Source organism: Homo sapiens, chromosome 7 (genome assembly GCF_000001405.40).
Source record: "Homo sapiens chromosome 7, GRCh38.p14 Primary Assembly".
Taxonomy (NCBI): domain Eukaryota; kingdom Metazoa; phylum Chordata; class Mammalia; order Primates; family Hominidae; genus Homo; species Homo sapiens.
This window is the reverse complement of record NC_000007.14, coordinates 144395398-144412708: the sequence shown is the minus strand read 5'-3', so window position 1 is coordinate 144412708 and position 17311 is coordinate 144395398. Positions and strand designations below refer to the sequence as shown.

The 17311-nt window shown below is 49.0% G+C and overlaps 1 protein-coding gene across 4 annotated transcripts; it reads left to right on the top strand.

Annotated features, from left to right (window-relative positions):
• NOBOX (NOBOX oogenesis homeobox) lies at positions 2482–15815 on the top strand. 4 transcript variants are annotated; one of them, XM_017011742.3, is made up of 10 exons: positions 2482–2566; positions 8029–8153; positions 10759–10840; positions 11112–11663; positions 12397–12503; positions 12846–12952; positions 13227–13312; positions 13531–13759; positions 14123–14427; positions 15168–15809. In XM_017011742.3, the coding sequence occupies exons 1-10, from the start codon at positions 2482–2484 to the stop codon at positions 15467–15469; spliced, it is 1980 nt and encodes a 659-aa protein (XP_016867231.1). In that variant the 3' UTR covers positions 15470–15809. The 4 variants fall into 4 exon arrangements, with proteins under 4 accessions (XP_016867231.1, NP_001073882.3, NP_001423330.1 ...); NM_001080413.3 differs by having other exon boundaries at positions 12397–12599; positions 15168–15469; NM_001436401.1 differs by lacking the exons at positions 2482–2566; positions 8029–8153; positions 10759–10840 and adding an exon at positions 9016–9052 and having other exon boundaries at positions 15168–15815.

The window sequence follows — 17311 nt, the reverse complement described above, 5'->3', positions numbered from 1 at the left end:
GAATCTTGCTCTGTCGCCAGGCTGGAGTGCAGTGGAGCGATCTCAGCTTACTGCAACCTCCACTTCCTGGGTTCAAGCAATTCTTCTGACTCTGCCTCCTGAGTAGCTGGAACTACAGACTCACACCACCACGCCCAGCTAATTTTTGTATTTTTAGTAGAGACGGGGTTTCACCATGTTGGCCAGGATGGTCTTGATCTCTTGACCTTGTGATCCACCCACTTCGGCCTCCCAAAGTACTGGAATTACAGGCTCAACAACTTTTATATGTGGTCTAAATGCCCTAATCAAAAGGCAGAGATTGTCAGACTGAATTTTAAAAAGCAAGATTCAACTATATGTTGCCTACAAAGCCATTTTTTGTTGTCTGTGCCCATCTTTGAAGACTGTAACAGCCTTAATGGGCTGTAGCTCTGACTATTGCTTTTCTTCTCAGCCTCTGAAAAGCAATGGCCTCTGGTGACTATGGACTTTACCAAAGTGTAATGCAAGTCTCATTATATTCTCTAGAATGGACATTAAAATGCCACATTTTATCCCTAGTTTCTGGATTCTTCAGTTCTCAAAATGGCCAATCCATATTTTCAGGAAGCATTGTAACTTAATCTGCTTACCAAATACCTGTAATGTATCAAATTGTGAATTTCCCAAAACTGCCATTTGTGCCATAAATCTGATAATTTTCTCTTTTTTCCAACTAAAAGGTCCACATTATTAGTTCATTTATTCATTCAACAAACAGTTAACACTTAGAGCCCAGCCACTGTGCTAGATATGTCCTATACACAGGTATACATTGTTGAAACAAACTGGGATAGTTTCTGTACCCATGAAACTTAAAATATAGTAAAAGAGATAGATTGTAAACAAATAAACATATAATTATATGTTGTGTTAGGAGTTGTAATGGAAACAGAAAGTATCAGGAGGCAGATGTTAAGCAGATAATGTGGCTGAAGGACTTGACATTGAGGGATACCATTTAAACTCAATCCTGACTATGAACTAATCACAAGAACAAAGAGAATAGTTTGGCCAAGCACAGGAACAGCATATGTGAACACCTTGAAATGGGAAAATTTGATCTATTTCAAGTGCTTGAAGGATCAGAAGAGTCACCTGAGATGAAGCTGGGGTGGTAAACCGGAGCCGGATCACACAGGACCACAGCAAGAAGTTTTAATTTTCCTGTAAGTACACTGGAAAATCACTGAAGCATACAAATAGGAGAAAAACATATATGGCTTAATTTACCTTTTTTTTTTTTTCTTTTTTTTTTGAAACAGAATCTTGCTCTGTAGCCAGAGTGCAGTGGCGCCATCTCGGCTCACTGCAAGCTCAGCCTCCCAGGTTCAAGTGATTCTCCTGCCTCAGCCTCCTGAGTAGCTGAGACAACAGGCGTGCACCACCATGCCCAGCTAATTTTTTTGTATTTTTAGTGGAGACAGGGTTTCACCATGTTGGCCAGGATGGTCTCCGTCTCTTGACCGCATGATCCTCCTGCCTTGGCCTCCCAAATTGCTGAGATTACCGGCGTGAGCCACCGCACCCGGCCTTAATTTACATTTTAAGACTTTCACATGCAAATCTCTGGAAAATGGGTGACAGTGGGCTGGGAGTAAAAAGAGGGCAACAGGAATAATCTGGCAGTTTCTATAGATGCTGTGTGTGAGAGAGAAATCAAGGGTGATTCCAGCTGGGTGGAGGATACAAAGATCGGGAGGACAGGAGGAGTGACAAGTTTGCGGGTGGGAATCAGGAATTCAGTTTGAAAATCAGGTTAAGTTTGAGAGATGTGTTTCCCTTGCTCAGGAGCCCACATCAACCGAGAAGCTGAAGAACTGGACCTTGGAGCAGGATCTCTAAGAGCTCAGATCATAAACTAGGTCTCCTGACTCAAGAATGCATATCCAGTGATATCTAGTACATCTCTAGTTCCAAATATGGCTTTTCCCTCTCTGTTGCTCTGCTCTCCTTTTCCTTAGGACTGCTCTGAATGAGAGCCTGACTGAGCTCCAGGTTGCCCACTCACAACCTGCACTGCCTTGCACCACCTTAATAACATGTGCAGCATACAGCAATGCAGCTTGTAAAACAGAAACGATCAGAATCCCTTTGCAAAACAAAGGCTGGATCTCATAGCCTATCCAGTTTGATTGCTTCCTTCCAAGCAACGGAATGACAGGTTTTGCAGGCCTAATTATTTGTCAGGTAATCAATCTAGTCTGCTATCATTGTTTAATCTCTACGCCTCACTAAACGCAAGCCTAATATTTCACCATTCTCTCCTCCGTGCAAAGGAAGCTGCTCCCAGCTTCTAACCCACACTACTGATCTTGCCCTCAATTGACATCAAGCAAAGGAGATATTTAAAGACAAGCTCGAGTATCTTCAATTTTACAGATCTAGAATTGTCACCATAAAGTTAGTGAGCTTAAAGTGTGTTGCCCCAAAAGGATAGAGGAACCTGCTGGCCATGACATGGCTCTCCTTTTGACACTAACATCACCAGACCTGGAGGGTACCTGGGACACCAGAGACAAGGATGGCTTCAAAGCCCAGGAGGGTGAGCTCATGTCCTGGAAGCAACAGCAAAATTGTGAGCACCACACTCTGAACAGAAGACAGAGTTGTCTTCCCATACACTGAGGACTCTTGGTAGAGCATCCCCTCTTGGGAGCCAGTGACCCTAGACTCAAACATTGGAAAAATCTATCAAGCCACCAGCAGAACTGGTACAGACCCAAGATACCAAAGGAGGAAAAAATACCTTGTTCAGGGACATTTCTTGCCTCTCACTAAAGCTGCCCTGCTGGCTGTCAGGTTTACGACCTTAGAATCCCGGACCCCTTCTTGAAGTTACGCTTAGCTATCCACTTGCCAGCCAGGCAGCCTGTCTATTCCTGTGAAATAAACAGCCTCATGGCTTCTCATGGGTTTGGGACTATTAAAAAAATCTAGAGGGAGATGAATAACCAAGTGGAAGAGGTTTTTATTTTTTAAAAGCCATTAAGGGAAAAATATGCAAGCTGTATTTCAAATTTGCCTTTTTAATTTTTTAAAACGTATAATATTTAAGTTCAAAAGATTGCTCCAACAGTTGAAAAATAGTTAAATAACAGTACTGCCACTCAATAAATTCTGAAGACTTTGAAACAATACAGAACTGTGCTTTTCATAGTACATTTTAAGGGAGACATGCCTGAAATTATATATGGAGTGTAATTACAATCATGAAAATCATATACAAAACAGCAATAATGGAAAAAATGCTGTGAGGAAATGTGCCAAATTGTTAATAACCGATACTGTTGTTTGATGAGAAATAGCATCTTCTTCATTTTTCAGTTGTTCGGTATTTACCCTTTTTTCTAATAAATTTGCATTCCTATTATGAGACATGTTATTGTTTTACTTTTAGAACAAATTAGATATAAATTCTCCTGCTTGCTCACCCACACCCCTGTTAAAGGTGTAGATATCATTTAAATCTATATTTTAAAGTTACTATTAAGCAAAAGTTAATAATGCTACTATACCAAAACATTATTTCTGTGAATTATATTTAACCAAGTCCAGGAGAACCAAACTTGTGGTCAGAACACTAGGATCAACTTTTTTCCTGCTTTTTGAGATAATTGTAGATTCACATGCAGTTGTAAGAAATAATACAGGGATTCCATATACACTTTCCCCGTTTTACATCTTCTGTCACGCCAGTACAATACCACACCAGGAAATTGACTTTGATACAGTCTGTGACCTTACTCAGATTTCACCAGTTTTCATGCACTGGTGTGTATTTAGTTCTGTGCAGTTTTATCTTGTGTGTAGACTTGTGGAACCACCACTATAGCCAAGATTCAGAACGGTTCCATCACTGCTACTACGCTTTTGAACTCACAGCCACTTCCCTCCCCTGCTCCCTAACTCCTGGCAATGGTCAACTTTTTGTCACTGAACAATGATCCATCCCCCATGCGGGATTCACTATGCCAGTACAGTGATGGATACAATCAAATAAACAGTGTAGCCTAGTGTTTAGGAGTGCAGGCAGGAACCAGACTAACTGGGTTCAAATCTGAGGTGGCCACTGTCACCTTCGGAGAAGTATTAAACTCTTTATGCTACATTTTCTTCAATAAGATGGGGATAATCATATGATAGAACTTCATAGGTTGTTAGAATTCAATGAGTTGATACTTAGAAAGCAAGAAGAAAGCACCGGGCCTGAATAGATGCATGTTACCATCTAAGAACTCCCAATCCAGTGGAGAATACACAAAACGCTAATCAGTTCAGCCTGTATGCAGTGATGTAATATACATGTAAACACAGTACAAGGGGAGGACCTAGGAGGGGGCAGTTAATTCTGGCTGTGGAAGGCTGAGCCAGGCTTCCCCAGAAAGGGAATATTTGGGTTGGGTTTTGGAGGATGAGTAAGACTTTGCCAGGAAAAAAAAAAAAAAAAAGTTTCATGCTGATATACAGCTTGATCAGTGACCCTGAGAAGGCATGGCGATTTCTAAAGGGTAAAAGCTTGGAACAAAAACCTGGAAGAGTGGGGGAGACTTTGGGGCAGGGCAGGGGAGTGGTGGTGGCCAAAGAGGAAGCCTGAGTGAAGGTTGGGGCCGGGTTTTGAGGGGTCCTTGAATGCCATGCTATAATTAGCACAGCGATTGCAATCCTGGAGAAGACTAGAATAGAATAGAAAGAAGAAAGTGCATCCCAGACTCAGGCACATCAGGAGAATTAGAATGGATGTGAAAGTACATTCTAAATTACAAAACACCAGCAGTGGCGATTAATTGTAAACAATGGCAGCAGCAGCAGAATGTTTAAAACACAGTCACCATTCTTGTTAAACGCAGATTATCCTGAGTGTCTGGGGCAAGGGCATTAGAAGTTACAACGCTAATTCACGCCAGAACTTGTCCTGGCCCTGCCCGGCAGTTTCCACTCTAGCCAGGTGTTCCTAATTCCCTTCACAGGCAACCTGAAACCATCCTTTTCTGGGCTTTCAAAGGAAGCCCCTGGGCAGATACTTTGGCAGTTGCCAGTGTCTCTCCCAGTCTCTGGGACCATTCACTTTTTCCCTGTCATCGGTCCCCAGTATTTATCCAATCATCTGGCCATTTGCCCGGGCTCTGGCAGTGCCGGTCCCTGAGCACGTGCCTGGCTCAGGCTTCCCTTCGCTCTCTCTGCTTTGGACAGGTCATCTCTTCCTGGTGGTTTTCCGGGGGCCCTGACCTCCCATACCTTGCTGTGACTACGATCTCCCTGGCTGTGACTACAATCTCCCTGCAGATTTCTGCCTGTCTTTCACAACTTATTCTTGCCTTTCTGGTCCTAGGTGTTCCAATGACCTGATGCTGCCTACACTGGGGTGTGGCCCATAGAACAAGAACACATTACCTTGTGGTTTTGCTTCAAAAAATGTTCTCAATCAGCCGCCTTCTTCTGGTTATTTTTCTCATTATAGAGAGAGAGGGAGAAGGATCAAGAACACTTATTTCACTTACTCTTCATAGACTGAAAAAAATTAACTACTTTTTTTTTTAGTATCAGACACCTTTCTTTTTGTTCTGGCATTCTCATATCTGTGAGGGGAAAAAAAGATTTTGGAAGAAATGACTCTTTCTAAGTGCATGGTGGTAATGGTGTAAAGTCTAGCTCTGAAAACTAAGAAACCAAAAAAAAAAAATTAAAAATTAAAAAAAAATACCTCCCTGTCCTCTAAACAAAGTTGAGTTAGGCTATGAACTAGTCAGCTGATCACAAAGATGAAATGCAACCAAACAGGACTTAGGAAGAAACAGCCCCAAGTTCCCCTAAAACAATACCTTGTTGTCCTCTATATAATTGAGCCGTCTCTTTGCTCTAGCCCGTATTTTAACTTCCATAGCAAACCTCCTTCACTTGAAGTTGATCCATGGAAGATATGACTTAACAAGATATATCAAAAACACAACACCTTCCCAACAAAACTCACCAGACATTTTCCCATGCAATGTACATCTTAGATAAAATTCACTTGCAGCCAATAAAATTCTTCATGTAAATAAACAAAACATCCAACTATATTATTTGTGGGGGAAAAAAACCTCATTTCTATGTTTGGAAAAATGCCAATTTTTTTTTTTTCTTTTTTGAGACGGAGTCTCACTCTGTCACCCAGGTTGGAGTGCAGTGGCATGATCTTGGCTTATTCCAACCTCCACCTCCTGGATTCCAGCAATTCTCCTGCCTCAGCCTCCCAAGTAGCTGGGATTACAGGCGTGTGCCACCACACCCAGCTAAATTTTGTATTTTTAGTAGAGACAGGGTTTCACCATGTTGGCCAGGCTGGTCTCAAACTCCTGACCTCAGGTGATCTGCCCACCTTGGCCTCCCAACGTGCTGGGATTACAGGCATGAGCCACTGTGCCCCGCTGGAAAAATGCCAATATTTTAAATTCTCTAAGTCCCTATGCAAATCTATTGTAGACTCAGACCCTGTATCTTTCAGTTTGTGGAAGGGTGCCATACAGCCTATGGGCAATTTGGATCTTTGCTTTCTGACCTTCACCCTGGCAGAGGGGAGCCAGCTAGAGAGAGGAAATACAACATAAACAATGGCAGAGAAGGATGACTTATTTTCAGTTTAATGTGACAGGATAATCTGTTAAGAAATTAATTGCACCCGCTTCTCACTGCAGCAGACACCTCAGTAAAGGGCAAAAGGTCATTTCCTTTCCCCACACAGGCCCCTACCATCCCTTGCCCCTACTCCTATCCCCAGGATAGTTTTTAACTGACTTAGTTTTTGCAAAGTCTAAAAGTGTCTCAAACTCTGAAACGCACAAAAATTACCTGAGGGGATTCAAATGGATGTTTCTGGGTACCTCCTTGGACCAACCAATTAAGATTTCTGGGGATTGGAACCCCCATTTTAAACAAATTCCCTAAGAAATTCTGATCCAGGGGGTTTTAAGAACATTCTTTGAGAAACATTAGGCCAAAAAAGACATACACACACCACCACTGAAATACCCAGGTGGGCAACACAGGGGAGCTGAGGATCCAGGGGAAAGACCCAGATGTCAGAGCTTGCCGTTCATCCTGGCAGTCAGGGGTCACTGTCAGGTTTTAAGCGGGACTGTGATGTGGTAAACTCCACAGCTCATAGCCCACGTGTCACCTTCTCCAAGAAGCTTCCATCCTAGTCCAGAAGGGGTTCCTGCTCCTCCGTACTCCATAGTAGCCTTTCATACTTCTAACTCACCACTGACCACACTACCCTGACATGATCATTTGATGATCTTCCCTCCACCAGTAAGCTTCTGTGAGCAAGGACGTGCCTGGGTTCCATTTACCATGTCGCCACCAAATGGTCCTGATTTTTCACCATCAAATGATCCTGGAAGCAATGTCAGTGCCCCACAACTGCTTGCTCACTTGTCCTGGAATGCTTCATTTCTAGCACAGAAACTGGGCCCCATCTATCTGAACGCCTCATAAAACAGAAGCTATCCGCCTTATGGAAGGCATCAGAATGAAACAGCAGATGCCTGAAGTCTTGATCATATTCGAAGTTAGTTTACATTTTTGTGTTTCAGAAAGAACTAAAGGTCTCACAATCCTCCAAAGTCCACATGTGTAGGCCAAGCCCCTCAAGGCAATTAAAGGAATAGGAAAATGTACCCACAGCTGATTTCAGCATGAAAGCACGTGGTGTCCAGAGTCTTTTAAATCCTTAAAGCAAAACACCTGGATTCTGTTCCAGGCCGCCCCGCTCCCCACCCAGCTCCAAGCACCTGTTTCTATCTGACCAGCCCTCCGACTTTCTACCCCTCCCCGCTCAGAAGAGGCAAGAATTTTTAAATTCTGATTTTGTTTGTATAAAGATAGTAAGAAACATTCCGTGAACCAGGAATCATAAGGCTGCACCCCTGTGAGATCTCCCCCAAGAAAGTCCCTTCCATTCTCAGAGAATAAAATCGAAACACCAAATGGATGGAAACACAGTAACCACACCGTCCCTGGCAGGGCCGCCCCTGGCTGTACCTGAATTTCCTGTGTGTGGACTGTACCGGATCTACGGAGTCTGTGGCTCTTTCAGCTCCTTCTTCATCATCCGGTGCAGCCTTTGTGCTCTGGAGACCCTCAAATCAGTACGGGGGGCGAGCGCTGTGGCTCACGCCTGTAATTCCAGCAGTTTGGGAAGCCCAGGCGGGCAGATAACTTGAAGTCAGGAGTTCTAGCCCAGCCTAGCCAACGTGGTGAAACCCCGTCTCTACTAAAAATACAAAAAATTAGCCGGGCGTGGTGGCGGGCGCCTGTAGTCCCAGCTACTCGCGAGGCTGAGGCAGGAGAATCGCTTGAACCCGGGAGGCAGAGGTTGCAGTGAGCCGAGATCCCCCACTGCACTCCAGCCTGGGCGACAGAGCAAGACTCCGTCTCAAAAACAAAAACAAACAAAATCAGGAAGGGGACTTTGAAGCTCCTTAATACTGAGGCTTGGAGGGGCCCTAGCATGGGAGTTGGGCAACCCAGCGCTTCCCCTTTGAGGAGTGGCTCTAGAAATCGCCTTCCACAGTCCACAGGGAAGGGCTTTAGCCACGATCCAGGACTGAGTCCTCCATAGGGTGTGGGTGAGCCCCACGGCTGGGCCCAGCCCCCCGAAGACCACCGGGTAGCCTCGCTCCCGCCTCCCACCCCAGCCTCGCCCTCCAGCCCCGCCACGGGAGGGGCCGCCTGAAGGAGACCCGCACCTGGGCCTGGGCTCCTGGCTGGGGGGAGCGGAGCAGGCGGCGCCCAGGCCCGGGTCCTCCCCGCCCTCGCAGCTGCCCCAGCCGAGCCTCCCGGGCCGGCCTCGCCCTGGGGGTGGGGGTGGGGGTGAGGGGGCGCAGCCTCGGGCTACGGCTCCCCCGGCCCGGCCCGGCCCGTGCGGGCTGCACACCTGCCCGCCCGGCGAGGCTTCATTAGGCCGCGCCTGTGCATCACGGGCCGGCCGCGGCGGCGGGAGTCCAGGCCATGGAACCCACAGAGAATCCCTGCCAGGGACCGCTGGGTGAGTGTGGAGACCCCGTCGTGCGAGGGGGTCAGGCTTTGGGGGTTCGGGGAGGGGGGGAGGCCTGTGATCACCAGGTCAGCGTTAGCCGACCTAAGAGCTTCAGTAGGCCGAGGGCCGGGTGGAGTCGGGTGGGGTAGGGTGGGAGGAGGCCGACCTCACTGCCCCCTGTGCTTTGGGATTGCAACCCCCCTCCCCGCTCCCCCGCGCCCCCTGCCCGCCTCCAGTCTCCCAGCGCGCAGGGGAGAGAACCCTGGGAGCCCCAGGACCCTTCTAGTCTTAGGTCTGACACCCGTCCCCTTCTTACTAGCGCACATCACTCCCATAGGACACGTGCTTACGGAGCACCCACAGTGCTGGGTACCAGGCTTTTTGCTACAGTACAAGCTCTCCTAAAATGCTGTAAAACAAATTTGTCCCTGCTTCCCCACACCACCAGCCAGCTTTGTCCCTTCACTCCATAGAGGCCTGCTCACCCTCTTCACCAGCCCAGACCCTCTCATGCAAGTCGGGTCCAGCCTGTGTCCTAGGAAAGGACTTGGAACAGCACCCTTGACCATGACCTTTTTCCTTGACACTCTGTTACAAAGTCATTCCTAGGGTCAGGCGCAGTGGCTCAAGTCTGTAATCCCAGCACGTTGGGAGGGCGAGGCTGGTGGACCACCTGAGGTCAGGAGTTGGAGACCAGCCTGGCCAACATGGCAAAACCCCATCTCTACTAAAAATACAAAAATTAGCTGGGTGTGGTGGCACACACCTGTAATCCCAGCTACTTGGGAGGCAGAGGCACGAGAATCGCTTGAACCCAGGGGGCCAAGGTTGCAGTGAGCCAGAATTGCACCATGTCACTGCAGCCTGGGCGACGGAGCGAGACTCCATCTCAAAAAAAAAAAAAAAAAAAAAAAAAATGTTATTCCTTAAGACCTATCTCATGCAATTTTCATTAAAGTAACAGTAGCTCTTAGTCGTTACTTAGCATTCATTACAAATGTTCCAATTTAGTTGGAAATGATAAAGCAGCTCCCTGAGCTGAGGGTTCTTGGAGTTATGAGTCAGTTGGGAGGTGAAAGTGGGGGGATCATTTGATGGCCCCAGGAAGGACTCCATGTGGTGATTAAGTACACAGAGTACGTGCTCAGGGTGCTGTGTGATCTTGGACATATTACTCTGCTGTCTCATCCTCATTTCTTCATCTGTTAGAAGGGAATATTAGCAGTGCCGTTCTTGCAGAGATTAAATATGCACTGTGCTAATCTTTGAAAGGTGCTTAGCGCCATGCCTGGAACATGATAAGCTCCCAATGCATCAGTCAGCTCACAGAAAGGAAGGCAAGCTTTAGGGATGAGTGGTAGGGTTTTTAGTTCTAGCTGGGTCCCAGTTTCCTTACTCGAAAGAGAGGTTTACCAGAGAGTGAGATCCTGCTTTGCAGGGAGGGGGAGGAAGTGGATGTGCTGGATGGTAGTGGGGTGGGGGGTGCGGGCGGGGGGGCATGTATGGAGCTGAGGAGAGTTGGCAGAGACAGAGTTCCATGGTTCTCCCTGTTATCTCTTTTGATGCTCTTGCCTCGGCTGCTGGAGACAATCGAATCCTTTCTTGTCCCTTCTCCAAGCAATAATGCCTGTTGTGCAGCAGAAACAGCATCCCGCCTTGGGAGAAGCAGAATCTCTGTCAATCTGTTTCTCTTTGTCTTCCTGGTCCATCCGCAGCCCCAACATGATCCCTTAGAGATACCTGAACAGTCCCTCAAACTCATACCCCTGGTGTCTGGGAAAAGGGAACTCACAAGGGGTGAGTACCCCCAAATTAGGAGATACCATGAGCTAACGCCGTCTCAGAATTGCATAAATTTGTCTACATTTTTCAAAGAAGTTGGGTTATCTGATTTAATCCTCACAATAGTCAAGCTAGGAAGGTAAGTGTGGAATTATTACCCCATTTGATAGGTAGACAAATTAAAGCTTAAGATCAAACCGTTTGCAAAGCAGGAAGCAGCACTTCCTCTTGGTCCAGTTCTTCCTTCTCCCTGGTGCTAAGGTCAGTGGATGTTGGCTCCCCACAGGCCAGAAAGCTGGAGAGAAGCCCCTGGCTGCAGGACCCGGGGAGGAGGAACTGCTCCGGGGCTCAGCCCCTCATGCTCAGGACACTCAGAGTGAGGAACTGCCACCCTCCTGCACCATCTCAGGAGAGAAGAAGCCGCCAGCAGTCTCTGGAGAAGCCACCGGGGCTGATGCTGGGAGACTGTGCCCGCCCCCCCGCTCCAGGGCTCCCCACAAAGACAGAACTCTAGCCCGCTCCAGGCCCCAGACTCAGGGGGAAGATTGTTCCCTCCCAGTGGGAGAGGTGAAGATAGGAAAGAGGTCCTATTCTCCAGCCCCCGGGAAGCAGAAAAAGCCTAATGCCATGGGTCTGGCCCCAACATCATCTCCGGGTGCCCCTAACTCAGCCCGTGCCACACACAACCCAGTGCCCTGTGGGTCAGGCCGGGGGCCCTGCCACCTGGCCAATCTCCTCAGTACATTGGCGCAGAGCAACCAAAACAGAGACCACAAGCAGGGGCCCCCGGAAGTGACCTGCCAAATTAGGAAAAAGACACGAACCCTATACCGCTCAGGTAAGTCCCTAAAGAGAGGAAACCGAAGAGATCTGGGGTCATCCTGGGGAAAGGTGGGGCTGTGTGAAGAATCTACCCCCAGGAGACCTGAGGGATGGGGTTAGTTTGTATGTCACTTCGTCCCGGATTCTCTCTTGGGCCGCGGTAGTGCAACTATCTCTGACCCTCAGAGGGAAGGTTGGGTTATCACATCAGAAAATGAGGCTGGAGCCAGGCACAGTGGCTCATGCCTGTAATCCCAGCACTTTGGGAGGCCGAGGCAGGTGGATTACCTGAAGTCAGGAGTTTGAGACCAGCCTGGCCATCATGGTGAAACCCCGCCTCTACTGAAAATACAAACATTAGCCAGACATGCTGGCCTGTGCCTGTAATCCCAGCTATTTGGTAGGTCGAAGCAGGGGAATTGCTTGAACCTGGGAGGCAGAGGTTGCAATGAGCTGAGATTGCGCCACTGCACTCCAGCCTGGGCAACAGAGTGAGACTCCGTCTAAAAAAGAAAAAAAGAAAATGATGTTGGGACCAGGGTAGAAGAGTAAAGAAAGTAAACATACTGCTCTCTGCTGTAGCACCCAAGAGCGAGAAGGCCCAGCCCAATAGGAAAAAGGCTTTGGGAAAGTGTTGGGTTAGGGGCAGTGGCCCCATCTGTTGGAGATACTTGGTGAGCACCTCTCTTTCTCTTCACCTACCTGTCACTGGCATTTGTCCTCCTCACACAAGTTTCTTCTTCTTTCAGATCAGCTGGAGGAGCTAGAGAAGATATTCCAAGAAGACCACTATCCTGACAGTGATAAACGCCGAGAGATTGCCCAGACGGTGGGGGTGACCCCCCAGCGCATCATGGTAAAGGGGGCCGGCTCACTGGTGGCAGGGTGGAGTGGCGGAGGGCCCACCATTGAAACACTCGAATTGCAGAGTGAGCGCTCAGCGGTAGCCTGGGTAGGAGCTGAATTGAGGCCTCAGACGTGGCTGTGTCCCTGACTGTTTCCAGAGTGCCACAGCCTGAGAGCATTAGGAGAGGAAGGCACTGCAGAGACTTTTGATAAAACCAGCCTGACGGAGGGCTCAGAAGCAGAGTGCTGGAGTGACCTTCCAAAGTCCTGTAGCTCCTTGTGCAACAGCCAGGACCTAAGCCTCAGTCTCTGCCCCTCTTCTCCAGTTCTTCAAGCACCTTTCCCCCCATAGGTGTGGTTCCAGAATCGCCGGGCCAAGTGGCGAAAAATGGAGAAACTGAATGGGAAAGAAAGCAAGGACAATCCTGCAGCCCCTGGCCCTGCCAGCAGTCAATGCAGGTCAGAATTCTTCCTCTTTCTGTATCATCCCTGTGGGTAGAAGTGGGGTCCAAGCTGGGATCCTGAGGGTCTAGAAGGAGACCATTGGAAGGCTAGGCATGAGTCCTAGGGTTGCCAGCTAAGATTTAGAGGGATTTTGGCTGCCATGGGATCGGGAAGTTGCCAATGCCCTGTAGGAGGCAGAGTTTGGGAATTGGTGTCTCTCCTGGCAATGAGGCACCTGTGCAAATCCAGAGACCACCAAAGCTACAGTCTTCATTCTTCCTGCCTCCAGCTCTGCAGCTGAGATCCTACCTGCTGTGCCCATGGAGCCAAAGCCTGACCCTTTCCCTCAGGAGTCCCCTCTGGATACCTTTCCAGGTGAGTTCCCACCTTCAGAGCTGGGGGAAAATGGCAACTAAAGATAGTGAAGACAGGCCTTGTTTGATGGAGGTGGGAGTGACTGGAGTCCTCCAGTGTTTCAGCCAGCAGGGCCTATTCAGGGGGACCTGGGCATGGCTTGTGTCTACCATTCAGCGATGCCAAACCTGCCTCCCATTTCCTTACCGTTATAGCACCTCTTTGCCTTCTGTTCCTAGAGCCCCCCATGCTGCTGACTTCTGACCAGACTTTGGCCCCCACCCAACCCAGTGAGGGTGCTCAGAGGGTGGTGACCCCCCCACTCTTCAGCCCCCCACCTGTGCGAAGGGCCGATCTTCCTTTCCCCCTTGGCCCTGTCCACACCCCCCAACTGATGCCACTGCTGATGGATGTTGCTGGCAGTGACAGCAGCCACAAGGACGGCCCCTGTGGGTCCTGGGGGACAAGGTAAGGAACCTACGGGGGTAGGTCACTCTAGTTATCTGGGTGGGGGTAGGGGGGTGTAGATGGAGAGAAGATAGACACAGAGAGGAGAGGGTTAACTGAGAGGAGCACAGAGTGGTACAGGAGATGGGGATGAAAGGGATAAGGGGATCTGGGGAATGACCTAGGGGATCACAGCAATAGAGCAGAAACAAGGGTAAGATGCTAGGAGCGGGAGTGGGGAGAAGAGGCAGCTGCAGCAGCCTTGCAAGGCTGGGCTTACCATGGAGATGAGGAGGAGGCGAGAGGTAGGGACTCCGCTACTGTGGTAGGAACGGGGAGCTCCCCCACCCCTGCACCTCACCAGCTGTTCCTCTGTCCTTGCAGCATCACCCTGCCACCCCCCTGTTCATATTTGGAGGAGCTGGAGCCCCAGGATTACCAACAGAGCAACCAGCCAGGACCCTTCCAGTTCTCCCAGGCTCCACAGCCCCCGCTTTTCCAGTCCCCTCAGCCCAAGTTGCCCTACCTCCCCACTTTCCCCTTCTCCATGCCCAGTTCACTGACGCTTCCACCGCCCGAAGACTCTCTCTTTATGTTTCCCTGTGGCCCCAGCGGGGGCACATCGCAGGGCTATTGCCCAGGTGCCTCCTCAGGACAGATCCTGATGCAACCACCTGCTGGGAATATAGGTGAGTTGAGGCTGGGAGAGAAGGTCCCCTTGAGATTGAGGAAGGTGGGAGGGGACAAAGAGCCAAGTTATCTGGAGGGTAGACTGAGGCAGGTCATGGGTGGTGAATGAATCCTTCTGTTTGCCCCTAGTTCTATTAAGCTCTTCTCCCTCGAATTCTGCAGAGGCTGCAGAGCACAGTGAGAGTTAGCAGAGAACTCTGGAGTTTGGCATCAGGAAAACAGGCTTGAAGTCCAGCTCAGCCAGTTACTAGCTCTCCTGAGTCTCAGTTTCTGGGACTCTGAAATGGGACTCACAGTTCTATGTCAGGGAGGGACTTGGTGAGGATTAGATACAATAGGAGTGAAAATATTTGGCCTAGAGTAGATGGCAGCTAATATTCTGCTGGGCCACTTGGACCTCTGAAATCCCAGAAACATCTGTCATATTAAGACTAGATTCTAGCAGAAGGGGAGGAAAGATCAGGTGGTTCCTGGTCTCCTTGTTGCATGTACGAAACAGCATTGGCCTGATCCATGGTTCACTTTGTGTCAATGTTACTAAACCACAGGACCTTGAGTGCTGGAGCCTGTGTGGTCCTAAGGACAGACCCTGAGGCTAGAGTTTGACCCAGACTTACACTGAGGTCCTAAGCTGCGTCTATGTGTGTTGGGGCACGGGGGGATCTGTTGTAGAACACTGTTAATGATAGTTGATACTCTCCATCCTGTCTGGTAATTCCTACACCCTCCGACCCCACAGGTACAGCCTCCTGGAGTGACCCCTGTTTGCCAGAGCTGCCCTTCCCTGGTCCGTTCTGCCCACAAGCTCTGGGGCATCCCCCAGGAGGGGATGGCTACTTTCCTGATCTATTTCCAACTCCCTGCCCCCAGGCTCTGGGCAGGCAGCCTTCGTCAGCTCTCTCATGGATGCCTGAAGGGGCCAGACCAGGGACTGGGCCCTTACTCAGCAAGGCAAAAGAGGAACCACCAGCTGCTTCCCTGGATCAGCCCTCAGCACTGGAGGAGGCCAGAGGGGATGACAAGAATAGCCATGTCCCCTAGTTGGGGGGTCAAAGAGTGAAAAGAGGCTGCTTGGGTGGGATAGGATTGGGCTCGCTGAGAGGACAGGGGTTGGGGGTTTGGGAAAGAGTGTGGACTCTGTAGACTGAGGGGAGAGTTAGACGTTTCCCCTGTGTAGGCTCGTCTTGTTGATATGAGAAGGAAGAAAGAGGGCTGGCGCTTCCCTTTTCTTCACACTCTGTGTGGGGGTCCTGAAGGAAGCAGGTGGCCTGTGTTACTTCTGAATGTTGTATCAGGTGTTTTTGTTTGTTTCCTATCCTTGCTTGACAAATGAGCTGGAGTGTCCACCGTAAGCAGTAAACTAGTCCGTCCTGCGGTTTTCTCTGTGGTTATGTGTCTCCATTATGTGTCTCCACACTCACACTAATGAAGAGCTCCATTTTCGTCCTTTTATTCCACTTGGCTGAGCAGTCATTGGATGCCATTCTCAAGTGGGCACCACCAGGCATGACCACATGGAGGGCCTCTTCCCTGGGCTCATCTCTCCCACTAAAGAAGGAACTGGGCATCTTGGGCTTTTCCTTCGGTCCTGACATTTAACCATATTCTATTCCCAAACCCATGACTGACTCTGAGCAAATCTGAGTCTGGGCCTTTCTCTGGAAGTTGGGCCCCATAGGGACAGGATCACAAGAGAAGCCTGAGAATATCTGAAGTCACTTCTCTAGTATTGTGAACTAGGACTTATTTTCCCACAGCTCTTGTTTTTGTGTATGGGGGGCGGGGCTGGGGAGCACTCCGAGGATAGCAAGTAGACAGTTCTCTCCCGCACAGGAGGATGTGACAGCATCCCCAGACTATAATGGCCCAGACCTCACTGGGCCAGGACGAAGGGTCCAGAATGTTCTCTGTCTCTCCCACCCTAGCTTGCAGAGGCACCAAAAGACACTTTGCTAAGCACCTTGAGAGATCACCCCCTAAAATGATCACCAACCATTTCATGCTTAACTCTCACCCATAGACTGCAATTTTACCTCCTCCATTTGTTTATGGTTACCGTTTGAGGTTGGGTGCTAATCTCGGGAGGTTTGGTTATAGGTTGAGATGTAGGAAGAGGAGGGAACAAGAGAGAACTTAACCAAAGATGGAGAATGCTCCCTAGATGTCTGCACAAGGGGTCAGGAGCTCAGGAAAGAATGGACACTGACTGAGGATGTACCACCCTCCTGTTCCATTGCACAGAGTGATTCTGCATCCACATTGAACTTGAATAACTTCCTTCCGTCCTCTGGTGGTGAGCCAAATTAGGCAAATGACAAATTAGGCAATGAAGGAAGAAACATCAATTAGACCTTATTGGTTCTATGCTTGAGATCCTGCTTTAGTATGTTAAGGGCTAAAGGGAGCATGAGAAGGAGGGTAAACAACCAATTTGTATAAAAAGAGAAGTGGGTGGTGCCTGGGAGAAGGGCGAGATGGGACTGAAAAGGACCAGAAAGATGAATGAAGGGTGAAGACAGTAGTATAAGAAGCAGCAAAACATTGACTGGGTGATGAAAGAGAAAGATAACCACAGAAGAAAAATCTATCCTAAAATACATCTAAACAGAAAAGAAAAGGTAAGGCACAGATCTGGAGATTGGAGGAAAGGGACCTGAGAGGTACTAAAGTAGGAAAGAACAGGTCAGGAAGGGAACAAAGGAAAGAGGCTAGGGGGCGGGAGAGACAGGAGATGGCACAGGAGTCAGAAAGTGGAATGGAAAACGAGCAGAGAAAGGCCGGGCGCGGTGGCTCACGCCTGTAATCCCAGCACTTTGGGAGGCCGAGGCAGGTGGATCACGAGGTCAGGAGATCGAGACCATCCTGGCTAACATGGTGAAACCC

Excerpts from the sequence above, each read along its gene's own strand:
- NOBOX (NM_001080413.3), top strand. The coding sequence starts at position 2,482 with ATGGCTCTCCTTTTGACACTAACATCACCAGACCTGGAGGGTACCTGG. Across the intron at positions 11,664-12,396 it reads ACGAACCCTATACCGCTCAG|ATCAGCTGGAGGAGCTAGAG; the intron begins GTAAGTCCCTAA and ends TTCTTCTTTCAG. Across the intron at positions 12,953-13,226 it reads CCTGCCAGCAGTCAATGCAG|CTCTGCAGCTGAGATCCTAC; the intron begins GTCAGAATTCTT and ends TCCTGCCTCCAG.